The 27,985-nt window shown below is 40.4% G+C and overlaps 1 protein-coding gene across 7 annotated transcripts in view, besides 2 other annotated features; it reads left to right on the forward strand.

Moving 5' to 3' along the window:
• SH3GLB1 (SH3 domain containing GRB2 like, endophilin B1) overlaps nt 1–8,508 on the forward strand; it is a 43,609-nt gene extending 35,101 nt beyond the window's left edge. For all 7 annotated transcript variants that reach the window (XM_006710672.3, NM_001206651.2, NM_001206652.2 and 4 more), the window contains 2 exons: nt 2,532–2,760; nt 3,452–8,508. In XM_006710672.3, the coding sequence (XP_006710735.1) occupies nt 2,532–2,760; nt 3,452–3,559 (337 nt within the window). In that variant the 3' untranslated portion in view covers nt 3,560–8,508. The remainder of the gene's footprint in view (nt 1–2,531; nt 2,761–3,451) is intronic.
• Nucleotides 14,133–14,192: an enhancer, noted in NCBI's record as "active region_1280". NCBI's record gives its function as "activates an Ori minimal core promoter by ATAC-STARR-seq in GM12878 lymphoblastoid cells {active_cell/tissue: GM12878}" and the evidence as "EXISTENCE:reporter gene assay evidence [ECO:0000049][PMID:35858748]".
• Nucleotides 15,864–16,364: an enhancer, noted in NCBI's record as "H3K4me1 hESC enhancer chr1:87221223-87221723 (GRCh37/hg19 assembly coordinates)". NCBI's record gives its function as "activates a minimal SCP1, AML or CMV promoter by ChIP-STARR-seq in naive H9 embryonic stem cells {active_cell/tissue: H9 hESC(naive)}" and the evidence as "EXISTENCE:reporter gene assay evidence [ECO:0000049][PMID:30033119]".

A 27,985-nucleotide genomic window follows, 5' to 3' on the forward strand; every position in this document is an offset into this window, starting at 1 on the left:
GGAGAAATAAGGGCATGTTTGTAAGCTGATGGGAATGATACACTAGGTGGAGAAAATATGATAATGTGGGAGGGAAAGGGAAGAATTGCTAGAGTGATACCCTAGAGAGGCAAAAAAGGATGAGATTTTGTGCACATATGGAGGAATTAGCATCAGGAGCATAGACAGCTCATTAAAGAGTTTCCTGGCCAGGCGCAGTGGCTCATGCCTGTAATCCCAGCACTTTGGGAGATCAAGGTGGGCAGATCACTTGAGCTCAGGAGTTTGAGATTAGCCTGGTCAATATGGTGAAACGCTGTCTCTACAAAAAAATACAAAAATTAACTGGGTGTGGAGGTGCATGTCTGTAGTCCCAGCTACTCAGGAAGCTGAGGCGAGAGAATTGCTTGCTTAAGCCCAGGAAGCAGAGGTTGCAGTGAGCCAAGATTGAACCACTGCACTACAGCCTGGGCAAAAGGAATGAACTCCTGTATCAAAAAAAAAAAAAGGAGTTCCTGATTGTTCTTTTTTCCTCTCAGTTAAAAGGAAGCAAGCTCATCAACTGAGTGTAATGGTTATGGGGAGAACTGCTGAAATTTTGAGGATGGGCAAGAGGGTATGAAATAGTCATCAGGGGAATGAAAGTGAAAGTGAATGGAGTAGAGAAATGTAGTATCATTGCCAGGTGGCATGTGGACCCACTTGAGGTTCCTAGTCATAAATTGAATGTAAAACAAAGCTTTTCTGTGTTTCTCCTGTTAAAGTAGATGCATGGATACTGAATAGGTAAATAGGTTTTTACCAAATCAGTACAATGAAGTGAGTGGCATAAGAAATGAGAGCATATCTAAGAGTTATTATAATAATTAACTATGGACATGAAGAAGGTGTTGGTAGGATCATAGACCCTGGTAGGCTTGTTGATGTGAGAGCACTTGAAAGAAAAAGGCGATGGTCAAAGAATGGGATAGTAGAAACTATTATTATTGGAAGGGTTGTGGTTACTGGAATTGGTAAGATCTAGATGTGACTGTGGGAATAGGTGGCTGAACTAGGATCAGGTATGAAGTCACTAGAAGAGAAGAGTTCGAGGATCTAAGAGGCTAAAGGGTTGGAAGAATTGTCCATTTGGATATTAAAGTCACCAAGAATTAAGTAAGAGATAATGTCAGTGAGCCAGGTGATAAAATCTTCTAGAAATGAAAGTAAGGGAATGAGGCATCTGTAGGTGATTGCAGTAAGAGATACTGGGTATCTCTTTTTTTAAAGAGTTGGGAATGATACAATAGATGGAGAAAATGTAATATGGGAAGGAAAGATAATATGATAAAATGTAATATGATAAAATATGATAATGTGGGAGGAAAAGATGATGTGCTATAGTTGAATAACATGAAGTTGAAGGATTGGCTAGAATTGTTTAGGGAAAAGAGTCTAAAAACAGTGATGAAGAACATAAGACTCCTCCATTGACCTCTAGGTTCAGTGATAAAAGAGGAGTATGGGAGATAAACGCTAGCACTGGAGGATGAAGGGAAGGTTTAGAGAAGAGGTTAAGGATACAGGGAATTTTGCTGATGACTGAAATGATTTCCAGATGGTATAGTGCTCGTGAAGAGAAAAGAGGACTTTTCTAGTTTAATGAATTTATTAAAACTTTGAATTTTTGTAGATCATTTTTTAGCTTAGAAATGGTTGAATTAGAATGATGTCAGACCAGCTATTTTGTACTGTTTTATATTTGGTATTATTGGGGAAACTAGCCTTAAAATAAACTGAAAATTCTAATTATCTTCAAATTATTTATGAGCACATTAATCACAAAAATCACTAATTTCTAATAGAAAATTTTTCTAAAAAATAGCACAAATGAACTTGTAAAATTTGTCCTATTCTACCATTGAGTCTTCAATTTCATTGAGATAATTAGCAGTCATATTATTTGAATGTCTACCTTCTCACTATGTGTATGTCCTTAAGGGAATAGTATCATTTCATCTTACGTCTTCTGCTTCTCATAGTCATGCTGAACATGTAGATACAAGTAAATAATACTTACATGTAAATGACAATAAATATTTTATTTGAATAGGAAAATGTGATTGGACCAGTTTATGAAAAAAAGGTTTAGTTATTCAAATATTTCTCAAAGAATTAAATTAAGAAAGCCTCATACTTGTAGTATCTAATATTTAAGTAGTTTTTCATCAATATTTTTATTTAGTAATTTATAAAGAAAAGATTAAGAAAACATTCTAATGGAAGTTTTTTGGGGAAAAAAGTATAGCCATTAATTTTAAGTTAATATTATAAGGACAGTTTTGAAACAGACTTTCAAGGATTTATATTTGAATACCACCTGAATTGTCTCTAGTATAATTGGCCCAAGAGGGAAAAGGAAGATAGATATACTTTGTCATTAACGTATTATTAATATCTATAAATCTTTTCCAATGTGAAGGTTGGTAGAAAGTAAACAGCGCCACCGAGTGGTGGTATTAAGGAGCTTTAGTCACTTGGAAATAAATAATTCGCTGCTTTCTTTTCAACAGTTTTCCATCCAATTATCTTAGTAACAACAATCAGACTTCTGTGACACCTGTACCATCAGTTTTACCAAATGCGATTGGTTCTTCTGCCATGGCTTCAACAAGTGGCCTAGTAATCACCTCTCCTTCCAACCTCAGTGACCTTAAGGAGTGTAGTGGCAGCAGAAAGGCCAGGGTTCTCTATGATTATGATGCAGCAAACAGTACTGAATTATCACTTCTGGCAGATGAGGTGAGTATTGTGGGTATGAGAAGGAAAATATATCACGAATTGACATACCTTCTAATATTATAACAAAATGCAAATTCCTCATTAGTTATTTGGAAATGGTTTCATAGATTACAGATAGTTATATTAACATAAAATTTTAATTAATATTCTTTAATAGAATATCATAGAAATATTTAAAACTTTTAACTGCCAAATAACTTGAAGATGTATAAAACTCCCTCCAATAAGATCCTTTATCTAGGCCAGACATGGTGGCTTACACCTGTAATCTCAGCACTTTTGGGAGGCCAAGGCAGTGGGATCACTTGAGGCCAGGAGTTCAAGACCAGCCTGGGCAACATAGCGACACCTCATCTCTACAAAAAATATGAAAAATTAGCTGGGCATGGTGGTGTGCGCCTGTAGTCCCAGCTACTCAGGAGGCTAAGGTGGGAGGATCGTTTGAACACGAAAGGTCAAGGCTGCAGTGAGCCGTGATCATGCTGCTGCACTACAGCCTGGGCAACAGAGTGAGACCCTGCCTCAAAAAACTAATAATAATAAATAAATCCTTTGTTTTTCAGCACAATTGATAATAACGTTTAAAGTCCTTTTGGTGAATAATTTAAACAAATTAAATACAAATCTGATTGGTTTTCTACTTGTTTATTTTTTTAATGTAGTTAATAACTGGAAGTATTTTATTTTGCAGGTGATCACTGTGTTCAGTGTTGTTGGAATGGATTCAGACTGGCTAATGGGGGAAAGGGGAAACCAGAAGGGCAAGGTGCCAATTACCTACTTAGAACTGCTCAATTAAGTAGGTGGACTATGGAAAGGTTGCCCATCATGACTTTGTATTTATATACAATTAACTCTAAATAAAGCAGGTTAAGTATCTTCCATGTTAATGTGTTAAGAGACTGAAAATACCAGCCATCAGAAACTGGCCTTTCTGCCAATAAAGTTGCATGGTAAATATTTCATTACAGAATTTATGTTAGAGCTTTCATGCCAAGAATGTTTTCTTACAAAATTCTCTTTTTATTGAGGTTTCACTAATAAGCAGCTTCTACTTTTGAGCCTCAACTTAAAGCAGAACTGTTTTCTACTGGATTTTTCATTAACAGCAAGCTTTTTCTTTTATGTAAAATAAATCTATTGTGAATTGATATCAGCGACTCATTTATTAGGTATAAATAATAGCCAAAGAATAAAATTAAAATTTATTTTAAACTTTCGGTCTTAAAAAGAGCTGTAGGATATAAACCTCTTTTGTGAAAAGTAGAATTTTCTGAATGCTTTCATAGACAAAAACGCATTTAAACTATGTTTACCTGGTTTTCCAACAGAAATCAAATGATTTTAATATTATGTTTTGATGGGTTATTTTCAGAGTTGTTTGGTTTTTTAAACACTACTGAATGGTTTCTTTTAAATTTAAGAACAACTAGTTCTTGAAAAGCAATACCGTATTTCTCTGATAAATTTGTAGTTAAGGTTCTAGAAAATCTAGGACAAATTTACTTCATTAAACATAAAGTTTTTAAGATTATTCAGTTGGCACAATTTAATGCATAATTGGGATTGGATCCATTTACTGTACTGTGGTACAGTAAAGAGAATGTGTTCTTATTGAACAGCAGATTTGTATACAAATACGGAATAATGCAACTACATTATAAATTGTATACGAACAAAATAAATTGGGTCACTCTGAGCTTACTATTAAAACATTGAAAATTTATTAATGAACACAGGCTATCTTGATGAGGATCTCTGCTTATGAAACACATACTAATGAAATTATTAGTGACACATTGGAAGCTAGAAAATTGCTGTTGGGGCCATTGCTATAAATCATTGTTTCCATGTTAAGACTTCTGTTCTAATTCATTCATTCAACAAACATTTGTTGAGGGCCAGATACTGTGCTGGTCAACTGGGGATACTGTCCTGAACAATATGCACACAGTTCTTGCCCCTGCAGAGCTTAAAGACCATTAAAGGATACAGAAAATTAAGCAATTATCCTATAGTAGGATTCGTGGTGTGATGGGGAAAATACAAGGTACTGTATTTGGGAGTCATGTAACTCCAGTTTTGGGAGTGAGAGAGGGTCTGGGGAAGAACTGTTCCAGATAAAAAGATGTGTAACCAAGATAGCATAGCACATTCTGACAACTAAAGCAATTTACTCTAACTTAAGCATGAAGTACAAAAGTATAGTTCATTTATTGAGGGAATGTTAAGCTATTAAAATGATACTTTTTGGTACTTTTAAAAAAATGAATACTTAAACACCGTTTTAAAATTTTGTGTTAAGAGCTCCTAATAAGAACTTGGTAAACATGTTGACAATTTAACTCACAGTCTAAACTTTAAAAGTAGTAGTTACCCTTTTATTTCTGTGCCATGAGACAAATTCTTCTGCAGTTTTATAGTTGTACAAGATGTTTTGACTCACTCTCAATTGCCATATTCTTAAAGAAACCCTGAAAAGCTGCTCAAGCTGGTCAGTTTTCTGTAAAACCAAGTAAATGAAATTTTCTCTCCCCTCAGAAAGGAAGTTCTACAGCCTAGAGTACCATCTATTGTGTTTTATAAGTCCAGATTTAGGCTTTGAAAGATCATACCAAAACTTCAGATCGACTTAAACAGCAACTATGAATTAGGTTTATGGGAAATGTAGTAATACAGGGGAAAGAATATCGGTAATGGAGTGAAATGGTCCTGGGTTCAAATCCAGTCTTCCTCACATATTGTGCTCTTTAAGCTTCAAATGAGATGTATAACTGCCTTTTCCTTACCAGTAAAATGAGGACAATAATTATGACACCATAGGGTGGTTGTGAGGATTAGCAAATGTTATCTTGTATTTCAGGTGCCTTTCAGGGAAAGGCTTGGCACATAGTAAACACATCCTGTAAATATCAGTTTCCCCTTGTTAGCCCCTGTAGCATCCTGACCTACCAAGTCTATAGGCCTTGCATATCACTGTGCACCAGAGATACCTCTTTTACATCTGGGCTCTGTTTTCTCTCTATCAATCCTATCCTCCACCCTCTTTAAATCAGACCCCAGGTTTAACCTTCCCACAGTCAGTATAAATCATTTTTCAGAACTTTCAGCTTTCCATCAAGTGAAAGTTGATTTTAGTTACCCAGTAATGTACAGAAACCTTCAATAATGTTAAGCTTCAAAGGCTTCTGGTACGTTTGTCTACCACAGAACCACCACAATATATATGCTTGTTCTTAGGTTTATTGCTTTTTATTTTAATGGGGTTTGGTTGTTTGGGTTTTATTTTGGTTTTGGCTTATTTTAAAGTCAAGTTTAGTTTTTACTCAGGTAAAGGCCTGAAGTTTCTTGGGCGTGGAAGAAAAAGCTTGGGAAGCCTATTAATTCATGGTGCAGTTCAGAATTGTTTAAATAAGCTCTGTGCCACTGAGCTTAATCTGAAAGTATAGTGACATGTGAAGGATGCACATATGAATGAAAAACTAAAATAATTGTAGGCTCTTCTATAAATGAAAAAAAAAGTGATTGGATTGTGTCTACCTTTTTCCTCAAAGTAATCTAACCTAAACGGTCATGGTGTTAAAACTTTTTATGGTGCTAATCAGAAAAATTGATGTTGCAAGAAATGAGGTCTCAAAAATGGGAATGTGCCTCCTCACTCTGCGTCACATGGGAAATAAATCCTGAGGCCAGGATCACCAGTGGGGTAGAGTCATCTTCATAGTCTCCTGTTATCCTCCCCCTGAACAAAGAACAAAGTGAGACTGGGAAGCTAGTGTTGGGGAAACATTTCTGGGATAAACTGTGGAGTGGAGAAGACAATGGAGGGCAAGGCAAAAACCCACAGACTTGTTTACCCATAGAGGCCCCACTCACCTCCATGCTGACAGAATTCCAGAAAAATTCCTTCCCTATCTCCCAAACACCTGAAATTCTGAAATATTGCCCTACTATTTAGCACTTTAAGCTTCAGTGAGGTGCTGTAATGGAGAGATAGCTTCATAGTTTAGCCTATAGCCAACTTTGCCTCAAGACCTCCAGATAAGATGAAGTGGCTTTTACCTCATGTGAGTCTCAAACGCTGGAGAGAGAGTTCCACAACCACCCCTGCCCTTTCTCCCATATTACGCTCATTAGAAAGTCTACTCAGGGCTGGGTGCCGTGGCTCATGCCTGTAATCCCAGCACTTTGGAGGCTGAGGCGGGTGGATCATCTGAGGTCAGGAGTTCGAGACCAGCCTGGCCAACATGGGGAAACCCTGTCTCTACTGAAAATATAAAAATTAGCCGGGCATGGTGGCGTGCACCTGTAATTCCAGCTACTCGGGAGGCTGAGGCAGGAGAATCACTTGAACCCCAGAGGCAGAGGCTACAGTGAGCCAAGATTGCACCACTGCACTCCAACCTGGGTGATAGAATAAGACTCTTGTCTCAAGGAAAGAAAAAATGTCTACTCAGTAGAGCAGTGATTGGCAAAGTGTGAGACCCCAGACCGGCAATATTGGCATCTCCTGGAGACTTGTTTAAAATGCTGATTACTATTTTCAAGAACTTTCTACCTTCATTTTTACTTATTTTTTGTTTTCAAGGGCTCATGGAATCAGTCTTCCATGTGACAGCTTTTTAAATATTTTAAGACAAAAACTGAGTCTTCTAATCTTAATTGTGTTCTAGCAGTAGTCATTGTAATTATAGTTATTTTTATAATTTATTTGTTTAGTGTATATCTGTCACTCTAGAATGTAGGCTCCCTGAGATAAAAACTATAATTCTTTTGATGGCAGTTACATTCCCAACTCTTAGCACAAGATCTAGGACATAGTATGAACTCAATAAATTTTTGTTGAATGAAAGAAAAATGCAAATTTATAAGCCTTTTCAGAGACCTACTGAATCAAACTCTGAGAGTGGAGCCCAGCAATCTGTTGTAAAAGCTGTTTGAGTAATACTGTTGCACTCTAAGCTTGAGAACCACTGCAATAGAACTAAGAGAACATTCATTTCACCTTCAGGCCTATTCTCTGACATCACTTGAAAAATCCTCTCTGCCTTCTGTAACCCTTAACCAACAACAGTGCCCTGTCCATGTAGGGGAAACTTCTGGGCTGTATTACAAGTGGGTAGGAAGGTATAAGGATATCATAGTGGGAAGTATTGCTTAGAATGCCAGTACTTGTTTGCTGTGGAAGGTTTCTAGGAATGGATTGCTTAGTCTAAAGTAAGCACTACCACCATCCACGTTTTCACTCAACACAGTGCCTTTTAATTGGTGACTAACATCAAAACACCTTGACAAACCGTTAAAACAGTATCAGAAACCATGTGTACATCCCTGTGCCTCTTAGATTGCTAAGTTCTGCTCTCATTCTTACTTCAAAGGACACTTTTTAAAGAATTGTTAATGCTTTTTTATAATACAAGTCATAGCCCTGTTGGCAAAAAGAAAAAAGATTCAGTGAGAAAGAAAAATCACTGATAATTCCATCATCCAGGGAGAACCACTGTTATTTAAGTATATGGCCTTCCAGACTTTTCTGTGCATTTATAGATATTTTTAATGGGATCAAAGTGTACATACTGTTTTGTAACTTTTTTTCACTCAACAATACCATGACTGTCTTGCTGTGTCAAGTATATTTCTACATCTCTTAATGGCTGCATGATATTCCATCATATGTGCCACATTTTATTAAACTACTGTTCAATTTTTAGGTTTCCAACTTTCATTAATAAAGTGCTTTAAAGAACATTGTGTTGCTAAATCTCGTATGTGTTCATATTTTCTCACGATAAATGCTTTGAAGTGGAATTGCTAGTGAAGAGGGTATGCCAGTTTTTAAAAGCTTTTGTTACTGCCATGTTGCCCCCTAGAAAACTCTAAGCAATTTATACTTTTATCAGCAGTATATGAGAGAATACTGTTTCTTTTGGAGGGCTTCCAACTAGAATGTTCTTGGAGTCTTTGGTTTAAAAATAAAGGGTAAGAGGGAGATAAAAAGATCCTGCAAAATTAAAGTCCAGTCTTAAATGTTTCTTAAATTATGACATTCATTTACTGTTCTTCCCTCTTTATCATATATTTTGTATTACTTTGGAAATGTTTGTAGTACTAGTTGCCTCTTGCTTTTATTCAGTCTCCTGGAAGCATTATTACCTTTCTGACATTTGCAAAGACAGTAGAAGAACAATCTTAAGTAGACTTGAATCTTGAGGTATCTTTGATGCAGGTGTACTGTTGATGGATTTAGGGAATGTAGCCGTAGTGGGGAAAGTAGGATTTTGGAAGGTAGGCAGAACAGTGGCTCTCCCACTTGTTTTCCTGGCCTTTTGTCAGTCATTAAACCTCTCCCACTTTGAGCCTGCTTACTCATCTCTAGAATTAGAATACTATAAACCTACCTTGTAGCATTGAAAGGATTAACCATATTATGAAGAGTGGCTGGCACCTAGTGGATAATATTATGGCTTACTAGGATTTATAGATGAGCATGTTAGAGCATTTGCTATTGTCAACCTCTGGAGTAAATATCACTGCCATTGCCAAAGAAAATCTTCCTTGAAAGCTGTCACAGTGAATGAGCATTGTCTTGTATATCCTTATACCTACGCAATCCTCATTCTTATGGAATCTGGCTCATTTTTTCCAGTCAGGTATTCAAGTAATGTAACCAGATAAAACTCTCAGACAAGATGTACAGTGGAAGATTTCAACATTACCATGCTTAACAACAGTGTACGAAAGTGGTAATCACAGTCTTTTTAAGTGGTAAACCTTGCCAAACTGCCCCTTCTGATACTCCCCCACCCTTGGCCCACAGCTGATCTCAGTGCTTCGGGGGGCTGTACCTCTATGTGAGAGCCTGACATAGGACAGGTGACTCAGCTCAGTAACAGTATTGTTAATTAGCTAAGTCTCAGTAGCATCTCCAGGACTGGAGATCACAGAATTGATTCATCCATAGTGAGAGAAATGTATTTAAAGAAGTATCTGAATTATAAAAGTTGCTCAGCAGTATTCAAAAAGATAGATGTCCCAGGGTTGAGCTGCAGTCATCATAGCAAAACCCCACAGACCAACCCATTTTAATATTTGGATGAACCATAATAAATTTAAATTAACATCTGTTGATTATAACTCAAACTGCTCAACCAATAAAGAATGAGTAGTAAGAGGACTTAAGGGGGTTGTAAGTAAGGAAGGCTATACAGGAAGCTTCAGGCTTACGAGAACAAGACGAATAGCTAATTGGAGGTGAGATGGACTACCATTATAAGCAACTTTTCTGAGAGTCTGATGCACCAGGGTTTAGGGCACATGTTTCTGCTCAGTCTCATGTTCTAGTAAAGTTCTCTGAAGCTTGAGCTGTAGTAGGCAGTTCCCAACAACCAGGCATTTTGATACCTGCTTGCCTTTTCTATGTATTTTCTTGTGTTCAGCTTCACCTGAAGATCCTCATTTGTCAAGAATAAGCTCAAACTCTCATTCCTCCATGAAGAGATTCTGGATTCCGCAGGCAGAATTGCATACACACACACAACTATCACATGCATTTTGCCTTGGATCACAATTACTTGCCAACTTGAAGGACAGGATTTTGTGTCCCCTGACACCTAGCACACCTAAAGCTGAGTTTTGGCAAGCTCATAGCTTGCTTGCAGCATTGTATTTGCAAAAAAATCTATTAATGATTCAAATTTGGTGCTATTATGTGTATTTGCCCTAAGAAACATTGGCTGTTTAGGACACCAATATTACAGAAAGCACATATCTACTTTTCTTGGAGAGTAATCCCCAGAATCTATCATCATGGTTATTACTTCATTGGCTCTGGTTAATTTTACGGTGCTCATCACTGACTCATACTTTACAAAACAGTAATTTGTTACAGCATGGACTTTTGCTGGCCACATCTATACTTCAAATTTAGGGTCAGTCACATCAAGGTTGGATGGGGGTATTTCCATTGTTGAGCTTTTCTATATAGATGTCTTCTGTAAAATGGGCTAAATTTCCTTCCTTTCTCCTTTTCTCTGCCTCTTTTCCACCCTTCCTTTTTTCCATTTCTATACATTCTCCCTCTCCCTTCTTTCAAAAAATTTACATGAGAAAATGTATAATAGAAGATCTTGATCAATTGATATTTGTGAATGACAAATCTGACCCAGATTTCTGAGAACCAAAGAAAGATGTATGATCTGGCTTCAGATTGACTGTTCACATATAGAAACATGCTGGTTGCTCAGGAGACAGCTACTCATAAAGAAGCACTCATAAAGAGAGCACTGAGACATCAACACCAAAGCGGAGTTAAGAGGCCACAGTGCTGGCACTGATTCATGGATTAAATTGTACATGACTGCTGCATTGAAGTTTTCATCAAACTGAGAGTATAAATGGGCACAAAATTATTCACATTAACACCCTGAAACACAATGTCGCTGAGCCGTGGCCTGTCCGATCATCAGCAAGTGGAGGATTCCCCTCGCCTGTGTATGTTTTAGAATCTCCAGAGACACATCCACAGTCAATCCTCTTCTTTCTACCTGCTAGTGAAGACAGGCCTTCTATCCCAGCTCACACTCCTAACCTAATTGCCTCAGAAACTTTCTGCGGTCACTGCCAGTGAATCTGAGGTTTAGCATGCTGAAAGTCGGTAAAATGGGAAGGTCACCACTGGCATCTGATAGCCCATTCTACAGAAGTGGGTATGGAATGCCTGCAATAAGGTTGCTCATCAAGATTCAAAATCTTACCTCAGTTACATGATAGAGTTTTCCTCACTGATACAACAGGGGCCCACTGCCTAGGCAACCACGTGGTGACAAGTATGTTACCCAGACGTTGTGTTTCTTGCTGACCTCTAACCCACCCCCTTCTTCAATGCTACCTACAGCCCACAGTGCTTGGCTCACTGCTGCCTCAGACAGAGAGGAAAGTCAGAGTTCTATGGCATGATGAGAGCCATTTCTTCCCTATTAGCACTCAATCGCAGGCTTCCCAGAAAGCACAGCTCTCTTTTAAGTACAAGAGCTCTTTAAATTTACACACACAAAGCCAGTTCTCCCAGGAGAAAGCCCTCACCAGATTGTCTGGTGAAGATAAATTCCACTGTTGGACACTTTGCAGTCCTGGAACCAAGGCTCCCCTTTGTCCCATAGCTCCCCTTGGTGTCAGGGAGCTGCTCACCTGTCTATTTCTACCTTCATGATAAAGTCCCTTTTAAGGGCCGTATTACTTTATCCCACACTCTGGCATTGATTAGTACCATCTCATGGCATCCATATGCTTCAATATATTTGGACCCCAGTGTTAGGAGCAATAGAGTCCTACTCTATTCCTGAACTATAAAATGTTACTATTCAGCCCAGACAGAATGTTTTATTGCAAAACCACCTAGCACAGAAATTGACTATAGACTTTGGAATCAAAAAAGCAAATTTTCAAATCTCAACTCTACCACCTTATTAACTGTGTGTTCAGTAAGTGACACAACCTGAACCTGTTTCTTCATCTACAAAGTACAGATTAAAATGCTTACCTCCTAGGTTTGTAGCAAACAGTACTTCTCAGACCAGCAGCATCAGCATCACCTAGAAATTTATTAGACATGCAGTCTCGGGCCGCTGCTGAATCAGAAACCCTAAGGATGGGTCAAAGCAATTTGCGTTTTAACAAGCCCTCGGGTGATTTGATGCATGCCAAAGTGGGCGAAACACCAGTTGCAAGGATTAAAAGAAATAATGCACATAAGGGCTGGACTCAGTAACTGGCATACAGTAAATACTTAACAATTTCTAACTACTATTTTGTCACTATTACAATTTTTAAAGTAATGAATGAACTACACACTTTTCAGGCAAAGTTTCGTATATATTTCTCATAACAAAGCTTTTCATAGACATTTGGCAGCTGAAGGCTGGAGGTTAAGATCTCAAGAATATGGAGTACAAATCCTTATATTTTAACCAATCATGTAGAAAATGAGTTTAAATTCTTTTCACTAAAAATTGACTGAAATCTATATAGAAAGTCACTCCATTTCTGAAAGAAAAAACAGTACTTGGAGAAAGGGTCAAGATTTTTCTCAGAAAACAGTCAAGGTCTGCTTCTACACATGGAAAAATGGGACAATTGAAGCTTCAATAATGGAGCTTCCAGCCCCATTATTGCCACAGCAACTGCCACATCATAGAATATCACCATGATCATATTCACCTGAAGTTTTTCAAAGCATATGCTTCCAATTGCATGGTGTGATTATAAAACAATTTCTATCATATACTCATAAAATGACCAGCTTTATTTCATGTAACTTCCTGATGAATGCCTCAAGATAAATTTGTGTTATAATAACCCTAGGAAACTAAATGAATTTACCTTCTACCCAGGCTGTTTGAATGTAAATCAATTACATGTTACAGAAGACTGAAATGATAGTGGTTTTATAATCGTCCACAAGCCATTCTTTCTGAGAGCATTTACCTAGCAAGTCCAGTAGAAATTAAATTTGTGGTTGCGTACCTTCAAGCAAATTGTTCACTTAATTTCTCAGCCCCACAGATTTTTTTATCTGTAAAATAAAAGGATTAAACCAGATGATCTCTAAGGTCCATCTAGCTCTTGCTTCCTAACATGTTCTAAACAAGCCAAAGTTGTTCATGTTTTAATAATAACTAATGTTAAACCCACAATTATGAATTAACTTGAACAGCATACACATTTCTACTGGCAGCTCGTTGATGGGGTTGTTTTCTTTATATTTTAGAGTATAAAGCTCTTCAGTCTGAGCTTTCTACAAAAGGCTGAATAACACCTTGTGAGAAATTCTTTAGAAATCCCTCTCTACCTGGACTGACTTAGACCTCAAAAGGACCAACTCTGTGCTCAGACATTCTAGTGAATTCTAATGAGTATATATGAACAGTGGCACTCACAGTCTTAGGCATCATTGGGCTTTTACATCCCCTTGAAAAAGTTGCTAACACTTATTGAGCACTTTATGTGCTTTACCTTCTTTAAACCTGGCAAGAAAGTATACTTTCCCCCATTCTACAGACGAGAAAACAGAATTTAGAAAGCCACACAACTAGAAAAATGGCAAAGAAGTCTCATTGCTTGCCTTCCCAACTCCAAAGCCCAAGCTCTTAATCAGTGTGGAACACAGACACCTATTTTTGGAATGTGCCCCCTACATATGGTCAATGGTCCATTATTTCCTGCACTCTTCCCAGGTTAGTACTTTTCTTGGGGCAGAAAAAGTATTGCTCTTAACATAAAGCAGCTATAAACTGCTGCTTAACCAACTAAAGAAACCTACAAAGGTCATCAAGCCAAGCAGGGAGCTGCCAGTGCCATCACTGCCACAGCTGAAAGTGCAGAGAAATCAGTGTTGGTTTAAGTCAGGGCTTCTCAAAGTGCAGGTCCTGGAATCTGTCAGGGGTGGGACTCTGCCATCTTGTGGTTCAATAAGCTCTCCAGATGATTCTGATGCACATGTTTGAGAGCCACTTGTTTACATATAGCAGAGAAACCACCTGTCTCTCACCTCAAAGCTGACTCACCTGCAGAAACAATGAAAGATGATAATGACAGCCCCCCCAAAATACCTCCAAGCTATCAAATGAAACTAAAATGTAATATCATTTTACTGACTCTATCCAATAAATAGACCACTCATTAATGAGTAATTTGGTAAGCACGTGAACATGCTCAGGATATAATTTTTCCAGGAACAGGGAAAAGAGTCCATGGATTGGAAGTTTATTTTGAAATTCAGCTGTAAGGGAATACGTTCTATGTATCTGTCTTTTATCAAGGTAAGACAGCAATATAATTTTATTGTTTCTTTCTAGCCAGTGTCTCAGTTTCCACTGAGGGGTTTATATGCCCTATTCAGCAGGACAAGAGCACATTATTTTAAAAATAGATGCCAATCATTGGCATTTACCACATGCCAGTCACTGTGTGGGGTGCTTTACACATTCTCTAATTTCATTCCTGCAACAATGCTGCGAGGTAGAGATTGTCCTTCCTCTGCAGATGAGAAAACCAAAGTTTAGATAGAGACATTAAGTGTAAATCTGCTAAGCTCATTTCAAGACTCCTGAATCTCTAGAGAAAATAGATTTCCTGAGTAACATCTCCCTTTTCTTCTTTCTCTCGATGCTAATGCAACATTCCTTTACCCCAAGACTGCCAGGCACAGGAAGCCAGTGCTCTAGACCTTCCTTCATGGCCCATTCCCACTTTTCCTTTGACTCCCAGCATGAGCCCACTCTAGCTAATTTTAACACCATTTTCTGCAAACTTGAGGTCCCCAACACCCGGATAGCTGAGCTAGGTGGGCTGCTGAGACTAAAGGATCTATGGGTCCTGGGGGAGGAAAAGAATGCCCCTGGAGGGAAAAGGAAGAAGGGCAGTAGGTAGCAGAAGGCGTGGCTTGGATGGGGGAAATGTGTCAACAGTGATACTGACCATGAACACACTGAACAACTAGCAAAGAGAATGGCTGAAAATATGACTGCTCAATGGAGGAACTAAGGAAAATATAGTCATATTTGTAAATAGTTTATCATTTCTGTTTCACTGCCATACAGCACAACAACTAGGATGCATATTATTAAATGGGTTGGATTAACTTTGTGGGTTTGGATTATTTTGCTGGAATAGTGACTTCTTTACTACTGTGACAATGCTATACTACAGAGTTTGCTGAACACACAGCACAGCTGTCTGTTCACTGCTTCAGAATTGGAGAGACCACTGGTCATATCTATATTTCCCTAGTTTGGAGAACATATATCCATACATTCCAATGCAAAATGCAAAAACAATGACCTGAGTTTGGTAATAGATCCAGAAACTTGTTAAGCTCTTATCAGCCATGTGTCTGTATTAAAAACCACCTGGGCCAGGCGCGGTGGCGCACGCCTGTAATCTCAGCACTTTGGGGGGCCGAGGTGGGCGGATCACGAGGTCAGGAGATCGAAACAATCCTGGCTAACACGGTGAAACCCTGTCCCTACTAAAAATACAAAAAATTAGCCGGGCGTGGTGGCGGGCACCTGTAGTCCCAGCTACGGGGGAGGCTGAGGCAGGAGAATGGCATGAACCCGGGAGGCGGAGCTGGCAGTGAGCCAAGACCGCGCCACTGCACTCCAGCCTAGGCGACAGAGTGAGACTCCGTCTCGGAAAAACAAAAAAAAAAAACAAAAACAAAAACAAAACCACCTGGCTGCAGTTGAAAGATCACCTTCTATTTGCGGTCATTCACTATATTTGCGGTAACTTCACATCACTGATCACAGGAACTACAGTAATGGGCAGGGTGGCTGAGCAGGGATTCCTTTGCCTGTCTTCCCCAGTCCGTTCCCCAGTTCCTCTCTCCCAAAAGTCCTATCAACAGAGACCTTGCAACTTGAGGCAAAAAGTGAAAGAATAATAGCTGCAGTAACTTAAGTACTTGCTGCATACAAGGCGCTGTGCTTAAAGTGATTTACATTCATTATCTCATTTTAACAACCTGAGAGGTAGGTATGACTCTTATCTGCGTTTTACAAAAGGGGAAGTGAAGGCTCTTAAATCACATAGCCTGGTAGAGTGGTAGAGCCTGGGCTTTGACCCAGGGCTCCCTAACTCCAAAACACTTGCTCTCAATGTCTACAGAGGACTCCCCAATGCACTATTATACCATTTAACTTGGCTAATGGCCAGTGTTTAAAATGGATAGGAGCAGAGACTTATCCTATCTATAACCAAGGTAGAGTGCAGCCTCTGAAATACAGCTGAGCAAACAACTCAAGCACAGTTTGATGTTCCTGCCCAGTGGGTGCTATTCCAGGAACTGATATCCCTTCCCTCATGTTCCTTAAACATATGTGACACCCACTATTATGGTATTGACAATGGGCTGAGAACCCCCTTCTCAGTGTAAGCAGGGACTCTTTCTAACCTCTCCCTGGTATAGGAAATGAGCACCTCTTCCATTCTGTCTCCAGTCTACTTAGCTCTGTCAGTAACTTGTCCAAAGCTTCTTTGGAAACTCAGTTGATTGGAAAACAGAGTACATTTTATATAATATAAATGGTGATGAGGCTCTTAGGTCAGTGCACCAAAGCCTACTTAATCTGCAATGTGCCTGAAAATTGATGGTGCAGCCGAACCCAGAACAGTGCAGAGTTGTTGAAGACCCCTAAATTTCTCCAAGCCCAGGCTTTTTTATGCTCCTCTAGTTCCAGGGCAGTAACCAGCATGTAGTAGGAAATAATACTAGCTCGTGTTTTTTGAGCACTTACAATGTGCTTGACGGCACTGTACACCCATGATCCCATTGGACCCCCAAGGCAGCTCTAGGCAGTAAGCACAATTGTTAGCCTCAAGTAACTGAGGCGTAGAGAAGTTAAGTGACTTCCCAAGGTCACAGAGGTGACAAGTGATGGAGGATTAGAACCCAGGCAGTCTGGATCCAAAGTCAGTGTGACCAACCACCTGTGGGCCTTTAGTTGCCTGAAAGCGGGGAAGAGGACCCGAGGCTGGGCTGAGGCTCTGCTGTGTAGTCAGCTCCCACAATGCACACATGGAAATCACACACACAAGCAGGTGGGGAGTGGGCTGGACAGGAGGTCTGGTGAATCCCTCCACAAAGGTGAGGGAGAATATGACAGAGACATCCACACAAGCTTCGGTGCCTCTAGAAGAGGAGGAGGTCCGTGAACAGGAAGGTGTCCGTGGGGTGGGCCAGGGAGAAGACAGAGCTGCTTGGACTGGAGAACAAACAGCTTGCTCCATTCTCCACAGTTTCTACTGCTGCTTTGAGGCATGACCTTGGGCAAGTTCGTCCCCTTCTGCGTAATAGTTCCCACCTCTAGAGTCTTTGTGCGGATTAAGTGAAATAACTCACTTTGCACGGTGCCTGGTGCCCACTCACTGAGAACATCCTCTTGTGATTAGGACCATTATCATTACATCAGAATGTCATTTGACTCTGAACACAGCCAAAGCCCACGAAAAAGCCTTTCGCAATTGGCCTTGCTAAGACAGGCTTGAGGGTAAGGAGGTTTTGCCCCCTACACTGGACACAGCGCTGAAAGGCAGCCGCAGGACCCCACCTCCCTTGCCTCTGCTGATGAGGGCCGTAGTTCCAGTTTCCTTTCCCTGCCAAGCCCTTACCAGCACCACCAACAAGAGGCGTAATAAACTGGCTTGAGTCCCACCTCTTCATTTCCGCTTCTCTACTCTCAGCAGCTAGGGCTAAGAAGCTGTGAAATGAAGGAATGCCCGTTGGCAAGAAGAAAATAGTCACCAAGCCAAGCAGGCCCTGAATAATCAGGCTGCAGAACCGGCCATAATTTACTATAAAACAGTCTCTACTGGTGACGAGTGGTGGGGCAAGAACAGAGGAGAGAAAACAGATGCCCCTTGAAGTTTTTCACCAAAAATCTAATAAGCCATGACTTATGAATGCGATGGTGTTTTGCAATCCACACTGCAATTCTTCACAATGTCTAGGTCCACAGCCAGCTCTCTGTGCTGAGAGGAAGGTTGCTATCTATACTACCACTGGCAAAACAAAAACAAACAAAACTAAAGGCAAGATGGTTGGGTCCTAAACTTAACACTTAGTTTCCCCATTTCTGTTATATATTAGCTGAGGAGGCATTTGGAAGACCCCACAAAGACATTATATGTAAATCAATAACAATTTTTGTTTTATGTTCAAACCATGAACACTGACTAGCTAATTTTCATGGCATCCCTATAAGTGAGTTTTATGATCCTGCTCCAGTTCAATTCTTCTTCAATACTATAATCAGCTTAGATGATTTTTTCATGTATTTCCATAAAATGATTTTTGCCAGCACCTTACATTTTCATCAGATTTTCTTGTCGTAGCTGGATACGGCTGGCACAGACAGTTAAGTGTTGTGAAATGGAGCGGACTGACAAGGATGGAGAATCAAACAAGGCATTGGCATGGGCCAACGTGGAGGGCTGCAGGGAGCAGGCAAGGGGGCATGACCTGGCTAGAAGTGCCTGGGAGAACAGCCTAGTGTTTGTCAGCACAATCTACAAAAGCAATAGCATAGATTAAAAAGCAGGAGCCCAAGCAAGGGTCTTAATAGCTGAGGATATAGGACATTTGACCGCTGTAGAGGATTGTCTCCAAAAAGTGGGTAGACACACCCCTTACTCTTACCTCTATGAGAGGAGTGTCCTTGGCTGCCCCATTGATGGTGGGCTCGGCTACATGCCTTGCTTGGTCCTATGGGATGTTGGGATGTTAGTAGGCATGATAAGCAGAGGCCTGTAATGTGTTTGCACAGTGGGGCTTGCCCTCTTGGGCTTCTGCCAGCACCATGAGAAATGTCCGCCCTGGTAGCACTAGTTCAAACAGGATGAGAGACCTGTGGAGCAGACCTGGATCACACTCACAGCTCAGAGCAAGCCCAGGTAAACACATTTATCAAGCATATTTTTAATGACTTCTTATCCTTCTAGTTGCAACTTACATGTCACTGTCTCAGAGGTCCCTGCCCTGACTCTCCTCCGGGCTAAATTATGCCCCTGTGTTAATTGTGTTTCAATGAAAGAAAATAATTAATTAGGAAGAAATTATTTGCTTATATGTTTGTTTCTTCCATTAAATTACATTCCTTGAAAGCAAGGAGCATATCTTATATGCTTAATATATTCTAGGGATTGTGCTAGAGTTCAATGAAGTCTATTAGGCTCTTAGTAAATATTTGTAGAATGAAATATAGAAAGCACTCCTGGAGGATGAGGCCACAACTACTACAGTGGTGACACAGAGCTCTTCTCTCAAGGAGCTTTGCATCTACAGGGCCAGACCATCAGCCACTGCACAGTGATAGGCTAGAGCTACTTAAATCCTTTCTCCCTGTGGTCAGAATTGACCTGAGAGACTGAGACAAGGTGTCCAGTTAGCTATTGCCATGGAACAAATTTTGACGAAATTTAGTAGCATCAAAGAACAATTACTATCTCTCAAGGTTTCTGTGGATCAGGAATTTGGAAAGAACTTGGCTGGGGCCGTTCTGGTTCAGCGTTTCTCATGAGGTTGTAGTCAGGTGGCAGCTGGAGAAGCTGGAGGCTGGCCATACATCTCTTTATTCTTGTAATCTGAGGGCTACTTCCTGTGGTCTCTCTGCACAGGTGAGTTGAGCTTCCCCCTAGCATGGCAGCCTCAGGGTAGTTGGACCATGTTCATGGTGGCACAGGACTCAAGTGCAGGTTTTAACAGCAAGCAAAGTGGAAGTTGTATCACCTTTTTCTTTTTAATGTGGTTAAAAACACATAACATTATCTGGGTGCGGTGGCTCACACCTGTAATCCCAGCACTTTGGGAGGCTGAGGTGGGCAGACCACCTGAGGTCAGGAGTTCAAGGCCAGCCTGGCCAACATGGTGAAACCCTGTCTCTACTAAAAATGCAAAACTAGCTGGGCATGGTGGTGGGCGCCTGTAATCCCAGCTACTCAGGAGGCTGAGGCAGGAGAATCGCTTGAACCCAGGAGGCAGAAGTTGCAGTGAGCTGAGATCATTCCACTGTACTCTAGGCTGGGTGACAGAGCGAGACTCCACCTAAAAAAAAAAAAATAATAAAAATCTTCCATCTTAACCATGTTTTAGTGTATGATTCACTAGTGTTATGTACGTTGACATTGTTATGCACCCAATCTCCAGAAATTTTACATCTTGCAAAACTGAAACTCTATGCACATTAAACAACAACTCCCCATTTTCCTCTCTCCTGAGCCCCTGGAAAACAGTGTTCTACTTTCTGTTTTTATGTATTTGACTACTTTAGATACTTCATACGAGCAGAATCATGCAGCATCTGTCATTCTGTGACTGGTCCACTTCATCCAACACAATGTCCCTGAGGTTCACACATGCTGCAGCACATGACAGGATATCCTTCCTTTTGAAGGCTGAATAGTATTCCATTGTGTGTATATGCCATATTTTCTTTATCTATTCATCTGTTGATGGACATTTGGGGTGCTTCCACCTGTTGACTATTGTGAATAATACTGCTATGAATATAGGTGTGCAAATATCTGTTCAATTCTTTGCTTGTTGCATCACTTTTTATGACAGCCTCAGAAGTCACAAAATAATACTGCTTTCAATGTCAGAAACCCACCCACATTTTAAGTGAGGGAGCATAGATCCCACCTCTTGATGAGAGGCACATCAAAGCCACATTATAAGAGGAGCATGTGGAGTAGGAGATATTGTTACAGCCATCTTTGGAAAATACAACCTTCCATGCAAGGATCCAGCTAGAAATGGAAGGGAGCAGAGGGAGAGATTAGGGAAGTGTTGTCAACCATCAGAGGTTGGCATTCAGACATCTGCCATACCAATGAAGGTCATGGCAAAGACCTTGCTGGCCACCAGCCTGCATCCTGTACAAAATAACACTCCACCACTTTCTATCTCCTTACCCTGCTTTATTCTTCATAGCACTTACCTTCCCCTCGGTACTTAATTGTTCAATTGCTTATTATATGTCCCTCTCCACTAGAACATAAATTCCAAAAGAACAGGGACTTTGTCTTTTTGTTTGCTGCCATACACCAGAGTCTAGCATGGCAGCTGACACAGGGTAGGCACTCAGTAAAATTTCATTAAATGAATGAATGGATTCAAGAAAGATGAAAATTTGATTTGAGTTCTGTGTTATAAAGTGGAATCAGGGTCATCTGGTGTAGTCAGACAAACCTGCACGTAACTCCTAGTCTCAACCCTTACTGTCTGTGTGGTCTTCAAGGAGCTATTTAAGAAGAGAAAAGGGTGGGTAGCAAGGTAGCTGATGCTGAAACTCATCATCAGTATAGTCACAGCCAACAGAAACATGGGGTCAAGTGACAGAATATTGACCAAGGGACCCCTCAGAACCTATGAAGTCCACCTCCCTCATTCAGCGGAGAAGAAAGCTGAGGCCCAGGGAAGTGAAGATTCCTACCCAAGACCACACAGAGGCAAGACTAAAACTTGGGGTCCCAAGTCCTCCGACTCATCAAATGATTGGGTCCATCAGAACTCAAAGTTGCAAATGATAGAAATGTATCCCAATAACTAGGCTAGGCACAAGGAGAAGTCTCAGCCCCACCCATGTTTTCTCATGAGTGTGGCAGATGCCCTTGTTGCCCTGCATCTCATCCCGTCACCCACACCTGCAGCTGTGATGGATAGTGTCACTTCAAGTGTACCCTGACTGTTCTTCCACCACAAGACTTTCTCAAAAGGCACAGGAGCCCACTCAGCCCACAATCATGTTCAGCCAGAGAGAGAGAGTGTAGTCAAAGCCCCCAGGGACAACTCTCAACCACAGAAAAACAGGAGCCATTAGGCAAATGCCCCAACCTTCTCTCCTATGGGTGGACAATTCTGGAGGCTTCAATGGTCCCTGCAGAGTTGAGCCCCTTTAGCCTAGAGCAGTGACCTTGACAATGCACACTTGATTGACTGTTTCCTTTTCCTTGTGCACTCTCCCTGTCCCCTCACACCTGCTTGCTGGGATCACCTCACAAATAACTACCTTCCTCTGTAAATCCTTGACTTGGGCTCTGCTTTAGGAGAAACCTAAACTAAGAGGTCAGTCTATTGGTGATGTAGCAAAAAATTGAATATGTCTTAGTTATGCAGATATTGATCTTTAGGGATAGGTACAGAAGGTAGAGGTTAACTGAGATAACATAAATAGTGCCTAGTCCCTAATGCCTAACCATCATAGATGCTTACTCAATGTTACCATAGTTTATCTATTCTAAGACACACCCTGTCTTTCACATTTCAACATTTCTAAAAACAAGATATACCTTAAAACCAGTGATATCTTACAACTATAATTGGCAGGTTTTTTTTGTTTATTGGGGATATATAAATATTGGATGCATCTTGCAATCATTGTCATTTTAGAGTCTTAGGTATTTTACAGTTCTCACTCAGTTTCTTCCTACCCCGTGAGTCAGGGAAAGGAAATGAATTGTCAAAGTACGAAGGCAATACGTGGAACAGAGCTAGTCAAGAGACCCATATTTCCCTAAAACATGATAAACCTGAAAATCCCCCAGCCAAGAGGGAAAGAGACTGGGAGAGTCTAAAGGTCATGCAGGTAGATGTTGAGATTCCGCTCCAAGCAAATCAACAGAGACTGCGTTTCATTCATCCTTAGCACCTGAGCACCTGGCTCAAGGCAGAGTCTTGCAAATGTTTGTGTACAGAAACAAAGTGAGTGGGATGCCGAGGTGGTCTGTCCTGCCCATCCCGGAAGCTCACATAGGAGGTGGAACAGGTAGGGCAAAGAACGGGGGGTAACTTTGGAACATCAGGAATATCAATGTGCTGGTCCAACTAAAGAGAGTGAGCCAGCCCGTCGGTACGGCCTCTCACACTGGGGAGGGGCTCTCACTTGAATGGGTACATGCTGGGGGCTACAGACCCCACAGGGCATAGCTAACTTGCATTCGCTTCATCGCCTACCCTTTTTTCTCACTTCATATGGCTCTGAGAGCTCCCCACACAGGGCTCCCAGTGCCTTTCTCTTTCTCCTCCTGTTTGCAGTCTTTTCGCCTCACAGGTTTATCTGACGAGCACAAGCACTTTGGAGCCTGGCCTTTATAACTTTTTTCTTCCATCAGCACTTAGTCACTCTGGGTCCCATCTGTTTAGGCTAAGACCACTCTATAACAAACCCGATGGATGCATCTGGCATTCAGGGTTGATAATGAGTTATCCCTGTGAAGAACCTTTATATCTTAGGGACTTTCTTTTTTTTTTTTTTTTTTTTTGAGACGGAGTCTCACTCTGGCGCCCAGGCTGGAGTGCAGTGGCATAATCTCTGCTCACTGCAAGCTCCACCTCCCGGGTTCACGCCATTCTCCTGCCTCAGCCACCTGAGTAGCTGGGACTACAGGCACCCACCACCACGCCCGACTAATTTTTTGTATTTTTAGAAGAGACGGGGTTTCACTGTGTTAGCCAGGATGGTCTCGATCTCCTGACCTCGTGATCCACCCGCCTTGGCATCCCAAAGTGCTGGGATTACAGGTATGAGCCACCGCGCCCCGCAGTATCTTAGGGACTTTCTATGCCTTAAGTTCATAATGACAAACATATACTAAGTATTCCGTAGTGAACTCACGGGGGCACTGTGGAACATTTTAAATTTTTTCAGGGGAAGCCCAGACACATCTGTCAGACCCTAAACAAATACTACTATTAAGTTATTTGGACTTACTTAATAAACAGAAGTGTTAGATATTTCTTTTGGCTTTTTTCATGAAAAAAGTGTTGAGACACTAAATGTGCTGTAAAATAAAAAAAGTTTGGGAACTTCTTTTCTTTCTTTCTTTCTTTATTTCTTTCTCTTATTTTTAAATGTGATAGGATCTTGCTCTGCTGCCCAGGCTGGAGTGCAGTGGCACAATCATAGCTCACTGCAGCCTCCACCTCCCAGGCTCAAGTGATCCTTCCACCTCAGCCTCCCAAGTAGCTTGGACTACAGGCGTGCACCACCATGCCTGGCTAATTTTGTATTTTTATTTTTTCGAGAGATGGGGTCTTGCCTATATTCCCCAGACCAATCTCAAACTCCTAGGCTCAAGCGATCCTCCCACTTCAGCATTCCAAACTGCTTGGATTACAGGTGTGAGGCACTGCGCCTGGACAAGTTTGGGAACTTCTACCTTAGACCAAAAGAGTCAGTAAGGGTAGCATTTGCAGCACCATAAAAAGCCTTGGGAAAATAATCTATGGGCCAAAGAACCCCTTCAGGAGCCCTAACTCACACCATGTAGGTAGGTATCCACTCTTCCTGTGGGTCAATATCCTCAGCCTTGTCACCAAATCCCTAGTCCCATCTGAGGTGACACCTAACTTCAGGACTATCTGTCCCTAAAAGTACAGCCTGACCATGACCCCATGAACAAAAAGTCATGTGCTTAGGGATTATGCACTTCAGTGGTCAGAGCTGGTAAGAGCCTGCCCTTTCAGCCCTTCTTATTGCAGGAAGGAGTGGAAAGCAGCCAGGTCCAAGATCCATTTCCATATGGCCTGGCCTTCCCAGACCATGTTAAATGACCTCCCCTTCCCTTCTACTATGCAAATCTTTTCTTCAAGATCCAGGTATATAACATATATATTATGTTTATTCTGAATCTGAATTCTTCACTAAAATGTAAGCTCCATGAGGGCAGGGACTTCATTTTTTTACAACTGTATAACCAGTACCAATAAGAATGCCTGCCAGAAAGTAGGCACTCAGTAAATATATTGAATAAATGAACTAGAGTCCATGAAAGAATTAAGCCTTAATGTGCCAATTATTCACTATGTGAATTAACTTTTCTACTATGCTTCATGAATGGCACTAGCTATGTACCATTTTTGGAAGAATCGAGAAGATAGTCATCCAAATCAATTTCTGTGTGCTATGGTTCAGGTGAGGAACCATTGTTGAGAAAGCCTGAGTTCATGAGCAAATTAATGGGTAAAAAGACCTACTTCTTCCAAGTAACCTCCTCTGATCATCCCAACCACATGATGTTGTAACTCTCCCTGCATCTATTAAATATGTCTTGGATTGGAAATGGTTAGGAGTGAAAGGCTCCTGCTTAATGACCAGTGTGCACTTAGTGATGCTCAACCATCCCTGTACGGTGACTTTGAGGACCCCACAGTTAATGGCTCTGTAAGCAGATCCAGCCTTTTAAAGGTTTCACAGAAGAACACTCCCACAATTGAGGCTGCAGTCTGAGTACTCTCTGGTACTGATAAGGCTGCCTGGGAACGCCCTGTCCTATCCCTTCCCCAAATCAAAAGCTTTTTGAAAGGCAGCCAAGCATTTGAGACAAACCAAGCAGTACTAAGTACATTATCTTGTCTAAGCAAAGCATGAGAAGTAAATTAAGATCCCTACTGACCTCACTGACTAAAGAAAAAAAAAAAACAACTCTGCTTTTACCTAATGTATGCTCATGGCCATAAAGAGAATCTCCTCCTTTCCATTAAAATTATATTTAGCCTAAGGAGATTCAGTACTCTCTGCAGTGTTATTTTATTTCTTTTTTAAATAGTTTCCACTTTTATTTTAGATATGGGGGCACATGTGCAAGTGTGTTACATGGGTATATCATGTGATGCTGAGGTTTGTGATACAAATGATCCTGTCACCCAGATACTGAACATAATACCCAACAGTTAGTTTTTCAGGCTTTGCTCCCTCCCTCCCCCTATATTAGTCTCCAGTGTCTATTATTGCCATCTTTATGTACTCAATATTTAGCGCCCACTAATAAGTAAGAACATGTGACATTTGATTTTCTGTTCTGGCATTAATTTGCTTAGGATAATGGCCTCCAGTTCCATCCATGTTGCTGCAAAGGACATGATCTCATCCTTTTCTATGGCTACATAGTATTCCATGGTGTATACATATCACATTTTCTTTATTCAATCCACTGTTGATGGGCATCTAGGTTGGTTCCATCTCTGCTGTTGTGAATAGCACTGTGATGAACATACGAGTGCATGTGTCTTTTGGTAGAATGATTTGTTTTCTTTTGGATATAAACTCAGTAATGGGATTCCTGGGTTGAATGGCAGTTCTGTTTTAAGTTCTTCAAGAAATCTCCAAACTGCTTTCCACAGTGGTTGAACTAATTTACATTCGCACCAACAGTGTATAAACATTCCTTTTTCTCAATAGCCTTACCGGTATCTATTGTTTTCTTGACTTTTTAGTAATAGCCATTCCAACAGGTGTGAGATGAAATCTCATTGTGGTTTTGATTTGCATTTCTCTAATGACTAGTGATGTTGACCATTTTTTCATATTTGTATGTCTTCTTTACAGAAGTGTTTGTTCATGTCTTTTGTCCACTTTTTAATGGGGTTATTTGTTTTTTGCCTGTTGAATTGTGTAAATTCCTTATAGATTCTGGATATGGACCTTTGTTGGCTGCACAGTTTATGAATATTTTCTCCCATTCTATAAGTTATCTATTTACTCTATTGATAATTTATTTTGTTGTTCAAAACCTCTTTTGTTTAACTAGGTCCCACTTGTCAATTTTTTGTTTTGTTGCAATTATTTTTGAGACCTTACTCAGAAATTCTTTCCCAAGGCTGATGTCCAGAATGGTGTTTCCTAGGTTTCCTTCTAGAATTCTAGAATATAGAATCTATAAAATATAGATTGAGGTCTTATATTTAAATCTTTAATCCATCTTGAGTTAATGTTTGTATATGGTGAAAGGAAAGGGTCCAGTTTCATTCTTCTGCATAACTAGCCAGCTATCCCCAGCACCATTTATTGAATAGGGAGTTCTTTCCCCATTGCTTATTTTTGTCAACTTTGTTGAAGATCAGATAGTGGTAGATGTGCAGCTTTATTTCTGGGTTCCCTATTCTGTTCCATTGGTCTATGTGTCTGTTCTTGTACCAGTAGAATGCTGTTTTGTTTATTGTAGCTTTAGAGTACAGTTTGAACTTGGGTAGTCTGATGCCTCCTGCAGTATCATTTAATAAGGACAATTCTGTTTCAACTTTCTCTGGTCATTTCTAAACCAATTAATAGCAACAGGAATGGGATTACTATAATTAGCTTAGACTTATTGACTTTATCCTAGGAACTGGGGATGAAGTCTCCTAAATCATATGAGGAAAAGGTAGATACCTGAAAAGAAAATGAGGGTTCTCTTGGCTGGGAAGCAAGGCATAGACTGACTATGCAATTAGTATGCATCGTGAAAGATTTAATAGACAGTACAGACTTTTAGGGTAAAGATAACAACTTTAATGTTGACCACATTCAATACTGAATGTAAAAAAAAATCTCTATTATTATCTCTGGACTGCTTTTTCAGATGTTCTCTGCCACCTGCAGTGGCCCAGTGGTTAAAAGAAGAAGAAAAAAAAAAACCTAGTTGTTTCTTTGAAGTGTTGCTTTTTAATTACTGCATATCATTTATGTGTGATTTATATATCAGACTTCATGCACCTAACAGCACAGTGGAAATCAGTGACAAATAAGTAAGGGATTATACACCAGATCGAAAGTGCAAAGCTACGGGCAAAGCATGATAGCGGACAGAAAAGAAAGTATTTACTTTCAGCTGGAGGGATTGGGGGATGTCTCCATTGAAGAGGTGGAGTTTAAGCTGATATCAGCAGGATTGGCAAGCATTTCATCCTGCG

This window comes from Homo sapiens, chromosome 1 (assembly GCF_000001405.40).
Source record: "Homo sapiens chromosome 1, GRCh38.p14 Primary Assembly".
Taxonomy (NCBI): Eukaryota; Metazoa; Chordata; class Mammalia; order Primates; family Hominidae; genus Homo; species Homo sapiens.